This window comes from Homo sapiens, chromosome 5 (assembly GCF_000001405.40).
Source record: "Homo sapiens chromosome 5, GRCh38.p14 Primary Assembly".
Lineage (NCBI taxonomy): Eukaryota > Metazoa > Chordata > Mammalia > Primates > Hominidae > Homo > Homo sapiens.
The window spans coordinates 38,844,561-38,862,905 of NC_000005.10; the positions used below are offsets into that span (position 1 = coordinate 38,844,561).

The 18,345-nt window shown below is 44.5% G+C and overlaps 1 protein-coding gene and 1 long non-coding RNA gene across 19 annotated transcripts in view; one reads left to right on the forward strand and one right to left on the reverse strand.

Annotated features, from left to right (window-relative positions):
* The window catches only part of OSMR-DT (OSMR divergent transcript), a 152,617-nt gene extending 151,348 nt beyond the window's left edge, over window positions 1-1,269 (reverse strand). For 2 of the 3 annotated variants that reach the window (NR_171676.1, NR_171677.1), the window contains exon 1: window positions 1,108-1,209. This is a non-coding gene — a long non-coding RNA (OSMR divergent transcript). Of the gene's footprint in view, window positions 1-1,107 lie in introns of all 3 variants that reach the window. The other variant, NR_109951.1, reaches the window with a different exon arrangement.
* Window positions 1,452-18,345, forward strand: part of OSMR (oncostatin M receptor) — a 99,568-nt gene continuing 82,674 nt past the window's right edge. For 9 of the 16 annotated variants that reach the window (XR_925661.1, XR_007058659.1, XM_011514161.3 and 6 more), the window contains exon 1: window positions 1,452-1,827. The gene's annotated coding sequence lies outside the window, so the exon portion shown is untranslated. The remainder of the gene's footprint in view (window positions 1,828-18,345) is intronic. The other 7 variants (XR_007058660.1, XM_047417872.1, NM_001323506.2 and 4 more) reach the window with 1 other exon arrangement.

Below are 18,345 nucleotides of genomic sequence, written 5' to 3' on the forward strand. Positions count from 1 at the left end.
GTGTATTAGGGCCTTTAGGCCTTTGTTTTAGGAAAAATAAAAAAACAAAAGGACTCTCAGCTTTCCTTGGGATGACATTGGGGAGGAGCCAGATATGTGAACAAACACAAAAGTAACATTTTAAAATAATTCTGACATTATTTTGAGTCATCCAGTCAATTCAATATAGGATTCTAAGATATGTTTATGGTCGATACTTGTTGATCACTCTTGGTTCCCTCCCCCACCCCCCTCCTACAACCTTGCTTTTGTGATACTTTCCAGGGTCCCCAAACTCAAACCAAACTAGGCTCAGCTGATCTGGAGCAAGGCCCCTTGCCTGCTGATTTGTCAGGCATCCAGACAGGCGAGGCTATGGGAGCTCCCGGTCCGAGGCTGCCTCGGAAGGCTCCTGTTATCCTCTAAGAGAGGTGAAATGCACCTTTCAAAGGCCCAGACACGGTAAAGATTGGATGGCATTTTTGGCCGGGCGCAGTGGCTGACGCCTGTAATCCCAGCACTTTGGGAGGCTGAGGCGGGCGGATCACGAGGTCAGGAGATCGAGACCATCCTGGCTAACACGGTGAAACCCCGTCTCTACTAAACATAGAAAAATTAGCCAGGCGTGGTGGCGGTCGTCTGTAGTCCCAGCTACTAGGGAGGCTGAGGCAGGAGAATGGTGTGAACCCGGGAGGCGGAGCTTACAGTGAGCCGAGATCGCGCCACTGCACTCCAGCCTGGGTGACACAGTGAGATGCCGTCTCAAAAAAAAAAAAAAAAAAAGGTTGAAGATTGGATGGCATTTTTAAGGGGAAAAGTAAACCATGTGTAGCATGTCGTAGCATTGGGAAATAAAGGTTTCGGGACTGTTGTAGCCGAAGAAACTTTGTCGGACAGGGCGTTTCTGGATAGAACGCGAGTAGGGGAAAAATGGGGACCGTTTGATTCGGTTCAAACACGTTTTCGTTGCTCTGGACGCCAAATGGAAACACGGCCAAAATTTAGTTAAAGGACTTCTCTTGCCTGAAGATTTTCGGACGGGGATCTCACGGGTTTGGCCTCTGGGTTGGGATGACAAGTGCCCCTGTGGGATACACAGCCCCAGGCCTCATCGGTCACTCGGCTTACCTCTGGTTCCGCCGGCTGGCCCGTGCGTCCTTGGCCGGGGCAGGAGCAGCGCTGCGCGCGGGGCACGGAGCCTCGGCCGCCGAGTTTTCGGTTTCCAAGTTTCCTTCCCAGGCCTCTCCCACTTCCTCTTCTCACCAGTGCCCGCCCGCCCGCAAAGTCCGGGTTGTGAGGCTGCGCCTCCCCCAGGATCGCGGCCGCCTCCCCCCGGGACTGAAGGGAGGGAATTCCTGTGGGTCCCAGGAGTGCCAAGAGTGCGCAGCAAGACGGGAAATTGCAAAAGACCTCACCCCTCTGCCCTCCCCCGCGGTTTTCCAGTAACTCCCGCCCCTCCGCGCTTGCCCCGCAGCTGATTCATAGCCCCGGCCCGGGCCGCCTCTGCACGTCCGCCCCGGAGCCCGCACCCGCGCCCCACGCGCCGCCGAGGACTCGGCCCGGCTCGTGGAGCCCTTCGCCCGCGGCGTGAGTACCCCCGACCCGCCCGTCCCCGCTCTGCTCGCGCCCTGCCGCTGCGCCGCCCTCGGTGGCTTTTCCGACGGGCGAGCCCCGTGCTGTGCGGGAAAGAATCCGACAACTTCGCAGCCCATCCCGGCTGGACGCGACCGGGAGTGCAGCAGCCCGTTCCCCTCCTCGGTGCCGCCTCTGCCCAGCGTTTGCTTGGCTGGGCTACCACCTGCGCTCGGACGGCGCTCGGAGGGTCCTCGCCCCCGGCCTGCCTACCTGGTGGGTGAAAACTAAATGATTCATTCCTTACAGGCCGCACAGTGCCGAGTCGCCCATTTCTCAGACTGTTTGAAATTCACCATCCCAGCGCCTTTTTCTCAAATGATGGTGGAATGTTTGTTGAGTGGAAAATTCCCACTTGAATCCCTCTTTCCTCTCTCCCAACACATCGTGTGGAGGAGTTCATTGCTTCCCCTACCTCTCCTCTCGTAACCCTTGACTCCCACCTGAGAGAGCCATTTTTCTGGGAATCCGTGTATCTCTCCCACCTGGTCCCTAGCGTAGAAGCGGGAGGAGCTCAAGCACAGGTGGAGAGAGGAATCCCCGGGCGACTCTGCAATAGCGTCCGTCCGGGGCGCTTACCTTCTTCTCCAGCCACTTGAGTGGAAGTGGCCCTCTACATTCTGGAAACCTAGGCACGGAGGGGTTCAGTAACTTGTCCAAGGCCATATGGCTAGCTGTGAGGGCACTGAAATCCGAGCCCGGCTCTCGCAGGCCAGGGCTTTACCCCTGACACCGCGATTCCTTTCTCGATAGTTCTTCATCTGCCCTTCATCCACCTACCCATGCATGCCTGCATCCGTCCATCCATCCTGCCTGCCTTGCTGCGGGAGGCACAGTGCTAGGTGCTGCTGATGGAGTGGCTTGGTAACAGACCTGCCTTGAAAACACTTTGGGAACAAGATATTCAAGAGAAGTAAATGGAAGGGTCTATGAAGGCAGAGAAGATAGAATTGAATGTAGGATACTTAGTTTGAGCTAGAAGGAATTCTGATGGAGGAGAAAGAAATTTTTAGGTTTTATTCCCAAGATTAAAACTGACTTTGGAACATGGGTCAAACTACTTATCACCTCTTAGTTTCCTTGTCTGCAAATAATAATGGTTCATACTTACTGTGAACCAGCCCCTATTCTAAGCACTTGACATATGCTAGCTCATTTAAGCTTCACGGGTGAGGCGGGTACTAGTTTTTTATTATATTTTATTGAGGAAACTGAGGCCCAAAGAGGTTTTGTAACTTTTCTAGGGTTACACAGCTAGCAGGTGACAGTATCAGGATTTGGGTTTGGAGTCTGCTCATGATCACCGTGCTGTAGCTCAAACTCTAAGACTGGGTGGGGTGTTTCATTATGGTCTTGCTTTGTCTCTCTCCTGGGCTGCTTTAAAATGCACTCAGAGCCCTTGATGTCCCCAAACTCCGCTGTGTCTGAGAATCATTTCTTGAGCTTTCAAAGCATCAAACTCCAAACACAGCCTTCTATTCAGAATCTTCAGGAAATACTCAGTTTGTTTTCCCCGTAGCATTTGTTCAGTGCCTCCAGTGGCAGGAAGCTCACCACCTCACATTTTATTGTAGGAAGAGCTAGTTCTCTGCTGTAAATTGCCTCCTTGTGACTTACATCTTGGTCCCAGTTCCCGTTTGTCCCAGCAGGTGTGGCTAAGCCTTTTGTATCAAAGGTGGCTTTGAGAGAAAAAGGCTGGTCTTGGGTGTTTCTTCCGCAGGGACCCGAGCCGCATTGGGGAGAACACATAAACACTGGTTCTTTCCCCCTCTACCCTTTTCTTTAACCTGAACAGACCAGGAACACATGCAGAGGTGTTCCTGGATCTCTCATGTTTTTGTAACCCTTTTGTCCTGAGGACAAAACCGAATCAGGAGAACTGTTACGGTTTTCAAAGGGGAATCAGTGGTACTGTATTTAACAAGAAGAAGGTGTGTATTTTCCTTGTGGGAAAGGACTGGGGCATTCATTGGCTGCAGTAGAAGAGAATCTTAGTGAGTGTGGTCTTGCTCACTTACAGGAACTGTGAGCCTTGGCCCTCCTTTCGCTGGGGGAGAAAATCCTTCTTGATTGCTTAAAAAATGTGTAAAATGGGGGGAAAAAAACCCAAACCAAAACAAATAGAATATCATGGCCTTGCTGGAGAAATCCCCTCCTCCAAGCAGGCTTCTTTGTAGCTACATGAAGAGAGAATTTCTTTTCCAACAGCTGTGTTGGTGGCTTCATAGCCTTCCTTCCCTCCTCATTTTAGTTGTACTGGTCGCTCTGCATTTGTGCACTCCACGTTGTATTCTATTTTTGTGTTTTAAAAATAATACAAATAATAACAACTCATTCTCACTCAATATAGAAGTGAAGTGAAATGTAGACGTGCCATCACCATCCTCCCTCCTCCCACTCAGAAGAGGGAAGGTTAAGTTTGATAATACCATTCTAAGGCTTGTTTTTCTTTTCTATAGTTTTACATAATACATACATATACATATGTTTTAAATATGCAAATTATCTTACTATACTTATTGTACAGCTTGCTTTTTCACTTTCCAAGTCTTAGAGATCTTTCCATTGTCTCTAGATACCTCTTTTGTTAATGGCTACGTGTTATTCTTTTTGTGTGTGTGTGAGATGGTCTCACTCTGTCACACAGGCAGAAGTGCAGTGTCATGATCATGGCTCACTGCAGCCTCGACCTTCTGGGCTCAAGTGATCCTCCCACCTCAGCCTCCTGAGAAGCTGGAACTACAGGCACATGACACCACACCTGACTTTTTTTTTTTTGTATTTTTTGTAAAGATTGGGTCTCTCCATGATGCCCAGACTGGTCTTGAACTCCTGGGTTCAAGCAGTCCACCTGCCTTGGCCTCCCACAGTGCTAGGATTACAGGCGTGAGCCACTGCGCCCGGCCAGCTACATGTTATCCTAAAGTAGAAATAGAATGTAATTTATCCATCCTTTCCTATATTGATGGACATTCAGCATTAGCAACGTTGCTTCAGAGCAGATCACACATTCATCTTCCTGCTCAAGTGTGAGTATTTCTGTGGAAGAGAATCTGAGGAGAGGTATTCCTGTGTCAAAGGGTTTGCCCCTTTTTCCACTTGATAGATACGAAGTGGAAGGTAACGATGTAACTTAATATTTTTGTAAAGTTTTAGACAGCTGATCCAATAGCATTTATTTAATAATTCATCTTTTTTCCAACTCATTTGAAATTCTGTTTTTATCATTAAATAAATTCCTGTTTGTAAAAGGGTCTGTGTCAGGATTCTATTCTGTTTCATTGATCTTTTTTTTTGTTTGTTTTTCCCTAAACCAATATTACTCTGAGTTAACTACTGTAGCTTTATAGTGTTTTTGAAAATCTTGTGGTATATATTTGTGCTTTTTAAAACAACTTTTTTTATAAATCACATACATTTTCTCTTTACAAATAGCCTGTCAAGTTTAATAAAATCCTATTTTTAATTAAGATTTTATTGAGTTTATAATTGTTAGCAATTTTTAATGCTTTAATGTCCACTTTGGTATGAGCTCCAAGCTTTAAGGAAACTGTGTCATGTGAACTTTGGTTAATGACTTATCTGATTTCAAATATTGGCTACACATCAGATTAACTGGGTCAGTTTGGATAAATTACTTGTCAACTTTCTTATCCTTAATTTCCTCCTCTGTGAATGGGAATAATAATATAATCCTTTTCTTAGCGCTGTTGTGAGGATTCAATTAATAAATGCATGTACGTCACTTAGCAAAGCACCTTGTAGAGAGTTAGTATCTTATACATGCTAGCTGGGATCTTTTTCATATTTATATCCTACTCATGGTTTTGCAGAGTGCCCTATTGGTAATAGGAACCAGTAAATATTTCCTTTATTTATTGGTAGTATCCTAAGAGACAAAAATATATCATATATTTTAAATATAGTAGTGTTTCTCAAACTTGAATGTGCATATGAATCACCTGAGGATATTATTTAAATGCAGATTCAAGAGGTCTAAGGTCTGGCCTGAGATTTTGCATTTCTGACAAGCTACCAGGTGATGTCAATACTGCTGGTCCTTTGTCCACATTTGGGTGTACAGTCTTGTACAACTATTTAAATTTATGCTGCTAGTGATAGTACTTCCTATTTGTAATGAATATGATTGAAAGCATTTTTAAATTGATTTCTTTTAAAATTACATGCTAAAGAACTAAATTATAGTTGTTTTCCTTTCTTCCTTCTTCTCTCCCTCTCTTCCTTTATTTTTGTTAAAAGAAAGAGGGTTGGTGAGATCGCTAAATAGAATACCTAGCTCTGTTCTTAGATCTAGAGTCATTGAGGCAATTAACTATCTGGATTATTTTAAACTGTTGACTTAAGATGAAGACAGTCATATAAAATATATGCAGCCTGAATATGACATTTAATGTCAACTAAAGAAAAGCACAATTGTAAGTGGCTTCTGCAAATAGAAAAATGTAAGACATAAAGAACACTTGGAAAAATGTAAGACAAAATAATTCTCAGAAAAGAGTGATTGAGGTTTCATTGTTCATGTGTAATGCCAGCTTTTGAGAAGATGTGCATCAACAGAAGTTACGCTTTCTTGTGAGTAAATTTTTCATACACCGTGGTATTTCTTGGTCACCTCTTTCTACTTTCAATCTCCCTAATGGGGGATTTTGAGCAAATTTACTTCATATATATACTTCAGTGTGTCTGTCTGTCAGCCGGGGATGGTAGTATGATTTTTCTACTCAGGACACTGGTTACTTTTTGCATTTGGAAATAGATCATTAAAGTATCTACACTCTCTCAGAACCTAAGAGGTTACATTTTCTGTACAGAAAAACACGGCATCCTCCCAGGCTGATCCAGTAGGTAAAAACTGCCAACCTTTTTCAAGTCTGTTCAATACCATGGGTTGGACTGGAAACACAAACACTGTCAACTAGTTTAATCATGTTGGGATATATGGTTTCAAGTGTGGAAATAAGGAAATTGCCACTTGCACAAGACTGAGCTTAATATGTTTAAAACATGCACACACACACGTTTTAAGGAATGCTTTATGTTGCAGAACTGTATAACTTAAAGTGAGTTATCTATAATTTCTCTTATTCTGCCCACCTCCCTCCCTCCATCTCAGCTCTAAATTTATAACTTAGTAAGTGGGTGTGTCTTTGGGGCTGGTTTGGATCCCTCAAGTAGAAGAGAGCAAGCCAGAAACACATGTGCAAGAGATTTACTGGGGGAAGGACTTGTAAGGGGAAAGGGAGTAACTGTAGGCACAGAGCCTTCAGACCCAGTGCAGGTGTGATGCCTGTGGAAGGAGATGGGGAGGAAGGAAGGTGGGAAGGAGTTGCTTCCAGCTGCAGCCATTGGGTGGGAGCAGCCTGGGGTGTGTGAATCTTCCACAGATCTGAAGGGGCAGTGTCTGAAGGCTGTCAGTCATCTACGCTCTCTTGAAGGGAGCACTGAGGGGCACAGCTGCACACTGCCACAGTTCTCTTTCAGAGATGTTCTTAGGTATATACTGTTTTGAAACTGACTTATTCACTGATGTGGTTTGGCTGTGTCCCCACCCAAATCTCATCTTGAACTGTAGCTCCCATAATTCCCTCATGTTGTGGGAGGAACCCAGTACGAGATAACGGAATCATGGGGGCAGTTTCCCCCATACTGTTCTCGTGGTAGAGAATAAGTCTCACGAGATCTGATGGTTTTATAAGGGGAAACCACTTTCACTTGGCTCTCATTCTTCTCTTGTCTGCCACCATGTGAAATGTGCCTTTCTCCTTCCACCATGACTGTGAGGCCTCCCCAACCACGTGGAACTGTGAGTCCATTAAACCTCTTTCTTTTGTAAATCACCCAGTCTCTGGTATGTCTTTATCAGCAGTGTGAAAACAAACTAATACATTCACTCAATATTTTAGAATATTTTTCCATGTCAGTGCATGGATCTAGTTCATTCTTTTTAACAGTTGCATGTTGTTCCTTTGTAGAAATGCACCATAATTATTTTTCTGTTCTTTTTGAAAGGCTCTTGGATTTTTATTTTTTCCCTCATGTACACAGTGCTATAACAGTCTTTAAACACATTTGCGTACAACATGTGCAATACTCTGTCTATCATCTGTAGGGCAAAATTTCAGCAATAGAATTACAGAATGATTTCTGGATCAAGAGAAATACACATAGAATTTTAGTAGATGTGGTCAAATGGACCTCTGTAAGGTTGTATGCTTTGATCATTAGTGAGTCACAATGCTTATTTCTGTAAACTCTTACCAATGTGAGGTATTAAGACCTTTTTAAACGTTACCAATTGGATACTACATAGACATACACAGACATACACACACACACAATTGTCTTTAATTCTTAGTGATCTTGCCAAGTTTTTTGTAGGGAAGGGTGATATTTGTATTTCCCTCTTTTCATGAATTATGTATTCATGTTTTTCTACAGAGTTGTATGCCTGTTTTTACTTATTTCTAAGAACTCTTTGTATATGAGGGATAGCTCTTTGTGATACATATTGAAACTATTGTTTTCATTTTTTTTTTTTTTTTTTTTTTTTTTTTTTGAGACGGAGTCTCACTCTTTCGCCCAAGCTGGACTGCAGTGGCGCTATCCTGGCTCACTGCAAGCTCCGCCTCTTGGGTTCATGCCATTCTCCTGCCTCAGCCTCCCGAGTAGCTGGGATTACAGGCGCCCACCACCACGCCCGGCTAATTTTTTGTATTTTTTAGTAGAGACGGGGTTTCACCGTGTTAGCCAGGATGGTCTCGATCTCCTGACCTCGTGATCCGCCCGCCTCGGCCTCCCAAAGTGCTGGGATTACAGGCGTGAGCCACCGCGCCCGGCCCTATTGTTTTCATTTAAAGCACTAAAATGTTTCAATGTTTGTTAATCAGTATAGCTATCTTTATCATTCTTCACCCTCCCCCTACATCCTTATCTTTTTTGCTTATGAGTTTTATATCATGCCTAACAGATTATAAAACTATTTACCTATGATTTAATCTAGTACTTTTAATGGTTTTATTCCTTGCATTGATATCTTTGTTCATCTGGAATTTATTTTGCTGAAGGAAATGAGGCAATAGACTTAATGATAAAATTAACATTAACTGGGTTTGCTGTATGTAGGTTCTCATAAGCCCATTTAATCCTCATGCCAATGCTATAAGGTAGGTTATTTTATTCTTCTCCTTCTACAGAAAAGGACATTGAAACCTAGAGGGGTTAAATCACTTGTCATTGGCCATATGGTTTTTAAGTACCAAAGTAGGAATTTGACCCTAAGCATTTTATGTCAGAGTCCATGGTACTTAATTATTAATATTACAGCTTCCTTTTCCCACAAGTCTGCGTGCTATTGTTCCAGTACCATTTTGGGGAATGATTTCTGTGATCTCAAAAGTGATTTAAAATATCACCTTTAGCATATGTACATATTTTTTGGATTCAGAATACCCTTGGATTCCAGTTTTTCATTTTTTTATTTGGCTTCATTTACCTTTTAGAGACTCAGCTTTAATCCTAGCTGATGTCACAAATTGCAGAAATCTTGAACTGAATGTTGCGTTTTTAAAAAATCAGTTATTCATCAGCTAATTCAATTTTATAAATCAGGATTTACCTTATAACACTGGTGGAAACACTTAACCATTATCCAGTGGACAGGTTCAAGAGGTGGGGTGTGGGGGACGGACATGAAAGGAGAAATACTCAAAGCTTCCCATGGCTGTAGCTTCTGACTGTGGAGCCTTGAGGAGGAAGGGAATTGGAGTGAACACTTGTAAGTAATCAACCCTATGCTGTAAGGCAGAGGCCTCTTCAAAGGGGCTCTCAAATATATAACTGGCAGTACTCTTAAAAAAAAAAAAAAGATAACCGAGCCTGAGAATCATGCAGAACCCGCAAGAAGTAGCATTCAACTCTTTGTACTGCTGCACAGGACTCTTTCATAAATGCATACACCCAGGCATGAGACCTCCAAGAAAGGGCTTCTTCCTTTAAAATGGCATTTGCATAAGACATCATCAGGTCACCCAGCCAGTTTTGAAGTTTGTCAACACACCCACATTCTTGGGACGTGAATGACTCTTATCACGCTGCTTCTCATGGGCATTATTTGTGGTGAGGAAACTTCCCAGGAATATTTCAGTAATGACAGAACAAGAAGTGTGGTGAGGAAGGGCAGACTGAAATCCATTTAAAAAGTTGTGTTTTATTACGCATGTGATATTTTTCTGAGGGATTTTCATAAGCATCTTTACTGAGAATGAGATTTTGCAAAGAGACAAGATTTGATTAAGAAGTTCTACAAAATCAATGGGTAATTTTTCTTTCCTTCTTTTGCCCTGCAGAGAAGGAAAGTCAATGCAAGATTTATAAATTAGGCAATATTTGACAATAGTAAAAGTAGAAAGGCCTGAACAGATATCTATTTTCATTAAAAAAAGATTGAAAGCAAAGAAGAGAGAATGTGAGAAAATTAGTACCCATTTTTATTCATTTATCAAATACTTACTGAGTAGCAACTGTCTTCTGGGACTGACAGACAATGGGGAATAAGATCCAGGCCTGCCTGCAAGTGGCTTATAGTCTAGTTGGGAATAATGGAGACCTGAAAAAGAGAGAGAAATGAAGAACAGATTTGGGGAAAGGACCAAGTAGTGGGGATGAAGTAGGAAGTATTTTTTCCCTTTCTAAATTCTGCTGCTTCACACTTCCCTGACTTCCTTTTCTCACTGGAAGTTGGAAGTAGCAGTGCTCCTCACTGACAGTAGTCGAGAGAGAAAGCCGGCCGGGTGGATGAGAGAGCTGGCTGCCTTTCTTGTGCCAGAAGCAGAGCTGCAGAGGAGACACCACCAAGGTTGTCCCGGCCAGAGCAGCAGTGAGACTGTGTCGGGGCTGCAGGGGCTGTGCAGATTGCTCACCCCCACCACACAGCCCTCACCCTTGAGGCAAGCTAGGAAAGCCTGGCCCAATCTTGGATTTTCACTTGATCTGCAGGAGGGGCCACAGTAGAGGGTGTGGAGCAGCCCAGAGCTTCGTGCGCTGACCTCCTAGCTTTTCTGTCTGTACTTCTGGTTTGGTGATGGTCTAGTCTTATGGGTTTAAGTACTATGTGTAAGCACTGAGGATGCCTGAATGTATATGCCTAGCCAGGACCACTCCCAGACCTTCAAACTGTGTATCCGGCTAGCTGCCTGACATCTTTTCTTGGAGATGAAATAAGCATCTTGAACTTAACATGTGGCAAATTGAACTATTGATACAGACCACCAGGTGTGTTACTCCCACACTCCTCTGCTCCTCCATAAACAGTAATTCCATTCTTCGAGGGGCTCTGGTCAAAACTGTTGTAGCCATCCATGATGTGTCACTTTGTCACCACCCCTGTCCTGTCAGCTCTATCTTTTAAATCATTCTCAAATTCCACCACTGCTCACTGCTTCCACGGCTGTCACCTGCTCTGAGACCCTCATCATTCTTCCCTGGACCATTGCACTAACCCCCCCAACCCCCACTGCCACCGCCACACCCCCCCACCTGTTGTCCCTCACTTCACTGTTGTCCCTCACTTCACTGTTGTCCCTTCAATCTCTCATCCTTGCAGGCTTCTGTTCAATGTAAACCAGACCACGTTACTCCTCTGCTTAAAATCTACAGTGGCTCCCATCTGGCCCAGAGCAGAAGCCCAGTTTCTTCCCATATTTTGCCTGCTCTGTTCTGCCTGTCTGCATGCCCTCTAGATGTCTTCTCTGGCTCTCACCAGCTTGCTTGTTCACTCCTCTCTAGTCACACCTGGCTCCTCCTCGTTCCCTAAATCCTCCAAGCAGCCCCCAACCTCAGGGTCTTTGCAGAGTTTTCTCCCTCACCTCTGGGCTTTTCGTTGTGTTAGTCAGGGTCCCATCCATCAGGAAACAGTTGGCACACTTGGAATAGGACAACTTGAGGAGAATTTATTTACAAGGTATAGAACTGAGGACTTCTTGGGTCTTGGAAGCAGCTAACTTGGAATCATTGGTGTCTGTGTTTTTTCATACTGCATCAGCCATGAGGAAGCCTGTTCCTATGGCATTTATCAAAGAGGCTCCACAGTGTCTCTGGAATGTTCTGCCAGGTGTTGATTCCTGTTCTGCACGTTTTGATATACTTTATTGATTTTAGCAGAAGGTTTTTGGGCAGTAGCTAGGACTCATCTTCCCTCTGTCTGTGGTCCTCAGGTGGCCTGGGGCCTGAAACACAGGGGGTGGCCTTGTCCAGTCCCACTGCTGGAAATAATAATCACTTTGCTCATGTGTAGGCAGTGACTACTGTGTCCTGCTTGCCCCTGCCCAACATGTGTGAACTGATGACAGAAGAAAACAGGGAATCTGAGCACAAAAGCTAACCTTCTAGGATTCATAGCCTGACATATGTGAGAGACAGTATAAAGGGCAGGAATTCCAGATAAGACCATCTTGTGATCTTTTATTTTTGGTTTTAGAGATAGGCTCTGACACCCAGGCTGGAATGTAGTGGTGTGATCATGGCTCACTGCACCCTTGAACTCCCAGAAACAAGGGATCCACCTGACTCAGCCTCCCTTGAAACTGGGACTAGGGGCACGTGCCACCATGCCCAGGTAATCTTAATTTTTATTTGTAGAGATGGATCTTGCTATGTTGCCCAGTCTGGTCTGGAACTCCTGGCCTCAAGTGATCCTCCAGCCTCGGCCTCCCAAAATGCTGGGATTATAAGCATGAGCCATCATGCCTGGCCCAGACAAGACTATCTTGATGATTCTCAAAGGCTCTTCTTTGGTACCCAAACCATAGAAATACATCTTTTGTAAATACTCATGTCTTTCCATTGTGTTGCTTGACAGCTTTTATTCTCTAATTTCTGCTTACCCTTAAATGGCAAGTGGCTTCTAATTTTTAGTCTTAAGTTTTTCTGCCCTATAACCTTAATTTTTTGTGACATGTAAAATACTCGATATTCTAGGAAAACATCAAAATTTTAGAAACATTTTAAGTAGTCCTTTTTAAAAAACATTTGGCAACATGCACATCATTCTCTGAATCATCTGCTTTTAAATTTATGAGATGAGATTTCCTTTCAGTGGTGAACACCTTGCATTCCTCAAATGATATGAATGTGAAGAGGATGATATACTAAGCCCACAGAATATAAGGGATATTTTAAATTTCAAAGTGAGTGTCATTTTGGAGGATTTTTCTTTGACTTCCCCTTGCTTATGACTAGAAACTATTTCCTCTAGAATTAGTTTTCCCCCGGCTTTAATATTCAGTTGTAATACAAACTCATTTGAAATTTTATTTAAAATTGACACATAATAATTATACATAATTATGGGGTACAGTTGTGATGTTTCAGTGTATGTATACATTGTATACTGATCAAAGTAATTAGCATATTCAAAACTTTACACATTTATCATTTCTTTCTGATAACATTTAAAACTCTCTCTTCTAGCTATCTTTTTATTTTTATTTTTTTCTTGAGATGGAGTCTCGCTGTGTCGCCTAGGCTGGAGTGCAATGGTGCCATCTCAGCTTACTGTAATCGCCGCCTCCTAGGTTCAAGCAATTCTCCTGCTTCAGCCTCCCGAGTAGCTGGGACTATGGAGGCGTGCCACCATGCCTGGCTAATTTTTGTGTTTTTAGTAGAGATGGGGTTTTACCATGTTGGCCAGGCTGGTCTCAAACTCCTGACCTCAGGTGATCCTCCCACCTCAGCCTCCCAAAATGCTGGGATTACAGGCGTGAGCCACCATGCCCAGCCTCTTCCAGCTATCTTTTAGAAAATTGTATATATAATAATTGTACATAATTTAGGGGGTATATGTGATATTTTGGTACATGCATAAAATGCGTAGTAATTAAATCAGGGTCTTTTAGGATATCTATCACCTGAAACATTTATCATTTCTTTGTGTTGGAGAAATTTTTTCCTCCAGCAATTTTGAAATACACAATATGTTGTTGTTAGCTATAATCACCCTGTGGTGCTGTAGAACACTAGCCCTTGTTCCTCCAATCTAACTGCATGTTTGTGCCTGTTGACTGCCCCCTTCCTAACCCTTTTCAGCCTCAGGTAACCATCATTCTATCTTCTATTTCCATGAGATCCACTTTTTTTTTTTTTTTTAGCTCCCACATATGAGTGAGAATATGTGATATTTTTCTTTCTGTGCCTGGCTTATTTCACTTAACATAATGACCTTGAGTTCTATCCATGTTGCTGCAAATGACAGGATTTCATTCCTTTTTATAGCTGAATTGTATTCCACTGTGTATATATACCACATTTTCTGTATCACTTGTCTGGTGTACAACACAGTTTAATTCCATATCTTTGCTATTGTGAATAGCGCTGCAACAAACATGGGGGTGCAGGGATCCCTTTTATATACTTATTTCTTTTCCTTTGAATAAATACCTAATAGTGGGATTGCTAGATTATATGGTAGTTCTATTTTTAGTTTTTTGAGAGACCTCCATACTGTTTTCTATAATGGCTCTTCTAATTTACATTCCCAGCAACAGTGTATGAGTTCCCTTTTCTCTGCATCATTGCCAGCATTTGTTATTTTTGCCTTTTTGATACTAGCCATTCTAACTGGGGTAAGATGACACCTCACTGTGGTTTTGATTTGCATTTCCTTGATGATTATTGATGTTGGGCATTTTTGCCATATACCTGTGGGCCATTTGTATGTCTTCTTTTGATAAGTCTATTTGGAACATATGTCCACTTTTTAATGGAATTTTTGTTGTTATTGTTGAGTTGAGTTCCTTGCATATTCTGGATATTAGTTCCTAGTCAGATGAATGGTTTGCAAATATTTGCTCTCATTCTGCGGGTTTTCTCTTCACTCCGTTGATTGTTTCCTTTGCTGTGGAGAAACTTTTTAGTTTGGTATAGTTCTGTTTATCTGTGTTTGTTTTTGTTTCCTGTGCTTTTGAAGTCTTAGTGATAAAATTGTTGCCTTGACCAATGTTCAGAAGCGTTTCTGCTATGTTTTTTTCTAGTATTTTTATAGTTTAGGCATTATGTTTAAGTGTATAATCCATTTGGAGTTTATTTTTGTCTATGATGAGAAATAGGAATCTAGTTTCATTCTACTGCATTGGTATCCAGTTTTCCCAGCACCATTTTTCGAAGAGTATGTCCTTTCCCCAATATATGTTCTTGGAACCTTGGTTGAAAATCATTTGGCTGTAAAAATGTGAATTTATTTCTGGGTTCTCTAATCTCATAAATTGGTGTATGTGTCTGTTTTTATACCAATATCATGCTGTTTGGGTTACTGTAGTTTTGTAGTATATTTTGAAGGCAGGTGTTGTGAGGTCTCAGCTTTGTTCTTTTTGCTTAGGATTGCTTTGGCTATTTGAGATCTTTTGTGGTTTCATATGAATTTTAGAATTGTTTTTCCTGTGTCTATGAAAAATGTCATTGATGTTTTGATAGGGATTGCATTGAATCTGTAGATTGCTTTGGGTGATATGGTCATTTTAACAATATTATTTCTTCCAATTTATGAGAATGTATTTGTTTGTGTTTTCTCCAGTTTCTTTCATTAGTGTTTTGTAGTTTTCCTTCAACATCTTTCACCTCCATGGTTCAATTTATTTTTAGGTTTTTTGGTGTAGTTATTGTAAATGGGATTGCTTTCTTGATATCTTTTTCAATCAGTTTGTTCTTAGTGTATAGAAACACTACTAGTTTTTCTATGTTGATTTTGTATTCTAAAACTTTACTGAATTCATTTATCAGTTCTAAGAAGTTTTTGTGGAGTCTAGGTTTTTATATATACAAGATCATGACATCTGTAAATGGGGACACTTTTTCTTTCTCAATTTGGATGCCTTTTATTTTTCTCTTGCCTGATTGCTTTAGCTAAGACTTCCAGTACTATGTTGAATATGAGTTGTAAAATTGGGCATCCTTTTCTCATTCCAATTCTGAGAGAATAAATTTTGCTTTTCACCATTCAGTATGATGTTAGCTGTGGGTCTGTCATATGTGGCCTTTATTATGTTAAGGGTCATTTCTTCTATGCCTAGTTTGTTGAGAGTTTTTATCATGAAGGAATGTTGAATTTTATCAAATGCCTTTTCTGCATCTATTGAGATGAACATATGGTTTTTGTCTTTCATTTTTTTGATGTAACGTATCACATTTATTGATTTGCATAGGTTGAACCATCCCTGCATCCCGGGGATAAATCCCACTTGATCATGGTGTATTATCTTTTTGATGTGTTGTTGGATTCTATTTGCCTAGTATTTTATTGAGGATTTTTGATTCCATGTTCATCAGGGATATTGGCCTATATTTTTCTTTTTTTGTGTGTCCTTGTCTGGCTTTGGTATCAGGGTAATGTGAGCCTTGTAGAATTAGTTAGAGAGAATTTCCTCTCCTTTAATTTTTTTTGAATACTTTGAGAATTGGTGTTAGTTCTTAGTAAGTTTGGTAGAATTAAGCAGTAATTTTTTCTTTTGAGATGGAGTCTCGCTGTTGTCGCCCAGGCTGGAGTGCAATGGCACAATCTTGGCTCACTGCAACCTCCGCCTCCTGGGTTCAAGTGATTCTACTGCCTCAGCCCCCTGAGTAGCCTCCTGAGTAGGTGCCTGCTAACATGCTTGGCTAACTTTTGTATTTTTAGTAGAGATGGGGTTTCACCATGTTGGCCAGGCTAGTCTCGAACTCCTGACTTCAGGTGATCTGCCCACCTCAGCCTCCCAAAGTGCTGGGATTACAGGCGTGATTAGGACATTTTTTATGTCCTTGACTAATTCATAGACCCAATGGTCCTTCAGGAGCTATTTTTCCAAAGAAAATTTCCAAAGTTTCTCCTGTTATTGAATTCTAGTTTTATTCTGTTGTGGTTTGAGGAAACACTTGATATGATTTTGGTTTTTATTTTTATTTTTATTTTTTTGAAATTTTTATTGATCATTCTTGGGTGTTTCTCACAGAGGGGGATTTGGCAGGGTCATAGGACAATATTGGAGGGAAGGTCAGCAGATAAACAAGTGAACAAAGGTCTCTGGTTTTCCTAGGCAGAGGACCCTGCGGGCCTTCCGCAGTGTTTGTGTCCCTGGGTACTTGAGATTAGGGAGTGGTGATGATTCTTAACGAGCATGCTGCCTTCAAGCATCTGTTTAACAAAGCACATCTTGCACCGCCCTTAATCCATTTAAACCTGAGTGGACACAGCACATGTTTCAGAGAGCACAGGGTTGGGGGTAAGGTCACCGATCAACAGGATCCCAAGGCAGAATTTTTCTTAGTACAGAACAAAATGAAAAGTCTCCCATGTCTACCTCTTTCTACACAGACACCGCAACCATCCGATTTCTCAATCTTTTCCCCACCTTTCCCCCCTCTCTATTCCACAAAACCGCCATTGTCATCCCGGCCCGCTCTCAATGAGCTGTTGGGTTCACCTCCCAGACGGGGTGGTGGCCGGGCAGAGGGGCTCCTCACTTCCCAGTAGGGGCGGCCGGGAGAGGCGCCCCTCACCTCGCGGACAGGGGGGCTGGCCGGGCAGGGGACTGACCCCCCCACCTCCCTCCTGGACGGGGCGGCTGGCCGGGCAGAGGGGCTCCTCACCTCCCAGTAGGGGCGGCTGGGCAGAGGCGCCCCTCACCTCACAGACGGGGCGGCTGGCCGGGCGGGGGGCTGACCCCCCCACCTCCCTCCCGGACGGGGCGGCTGGCCGGGCGGGGGGCTGACCCCCCCACCTCCCACCCGGACGGGGTGGCTGGCCGGGCGGGGGACTGACCCCCTCACCTCCCTCCCGGACGGGGCGGCTGGCCGGGCAGAGGGGCTCCTCACTTCCCAGTAGGGGCGGCCGGGCAGAGGCGCCCCTCACCTCCCGGACGGGGCGGCTGGCCGGGTGGGGGGCTGACCCCCCACCTCCCTCCCGGACGGGGCGGCTGGCCGGGCAGAGGGGCTCCTCACCGGGCAGAGGGGCTCCTCACTTCCCAGTAGGGGCGGCCGGGCAGAGGCGCCCCTCACCTCCCGGACGGGGCGGCTGGCTGGGCGGGGGGCTGACCCCCTACCTCCCTCCCGGACGGGGCGGCTGGCTGGGCGGGGGGCTGACCCCCCCACCTCCCTCCCGGACGGGGTGGCTGGCCGGGCAGAGGGGCTCCTCACTTCCCAGTAGGGGCGGCCGGGCAGAGGCGCCCCTCACCTCCCGGATGGGGCGGCTGGCCGGGCGGGGGCTGACCCCCCCACCTCCCTCCCGGACGGGTGGCTGCTGGGCTGAGACGCTCCTCACTTCCCAGACGGGGTGGCTGCCGGGCGGAGGGGCTCCTCACTTCTCAGACGGGGCAGTTGCCGGGCAGAGGGTCTCCTCACTTCTCAGACGGGGCGGCCGGGCAGAGATGCTCCTCACCTCCCAGACCGGGTCGCGGCCAGGCAGAGGCGCTCCTCACATCCCAGACGGGGCGGCAGGGCAGAGGCGCTCCCCACATCTCAGACGATGGGCTGCCGGGCAGAGACGCTCCTCACTTCCTAGATGGGATGGCGGCCGGGAAGAGGCGCTCCTCACTTCCCAGACGGGGTGGCGGCCGGGCAGAGGCTGCAATCTCGGCACTTTGGGAGGCCAAGGCAGGCGGCTGGGAGGTGGAGGTTGTAGCGAGCCGAGATCACACCACTGCACTCCAGCCTGGGCACCATTGAGCACTGAGTGAACCAGACTCCGTCTGC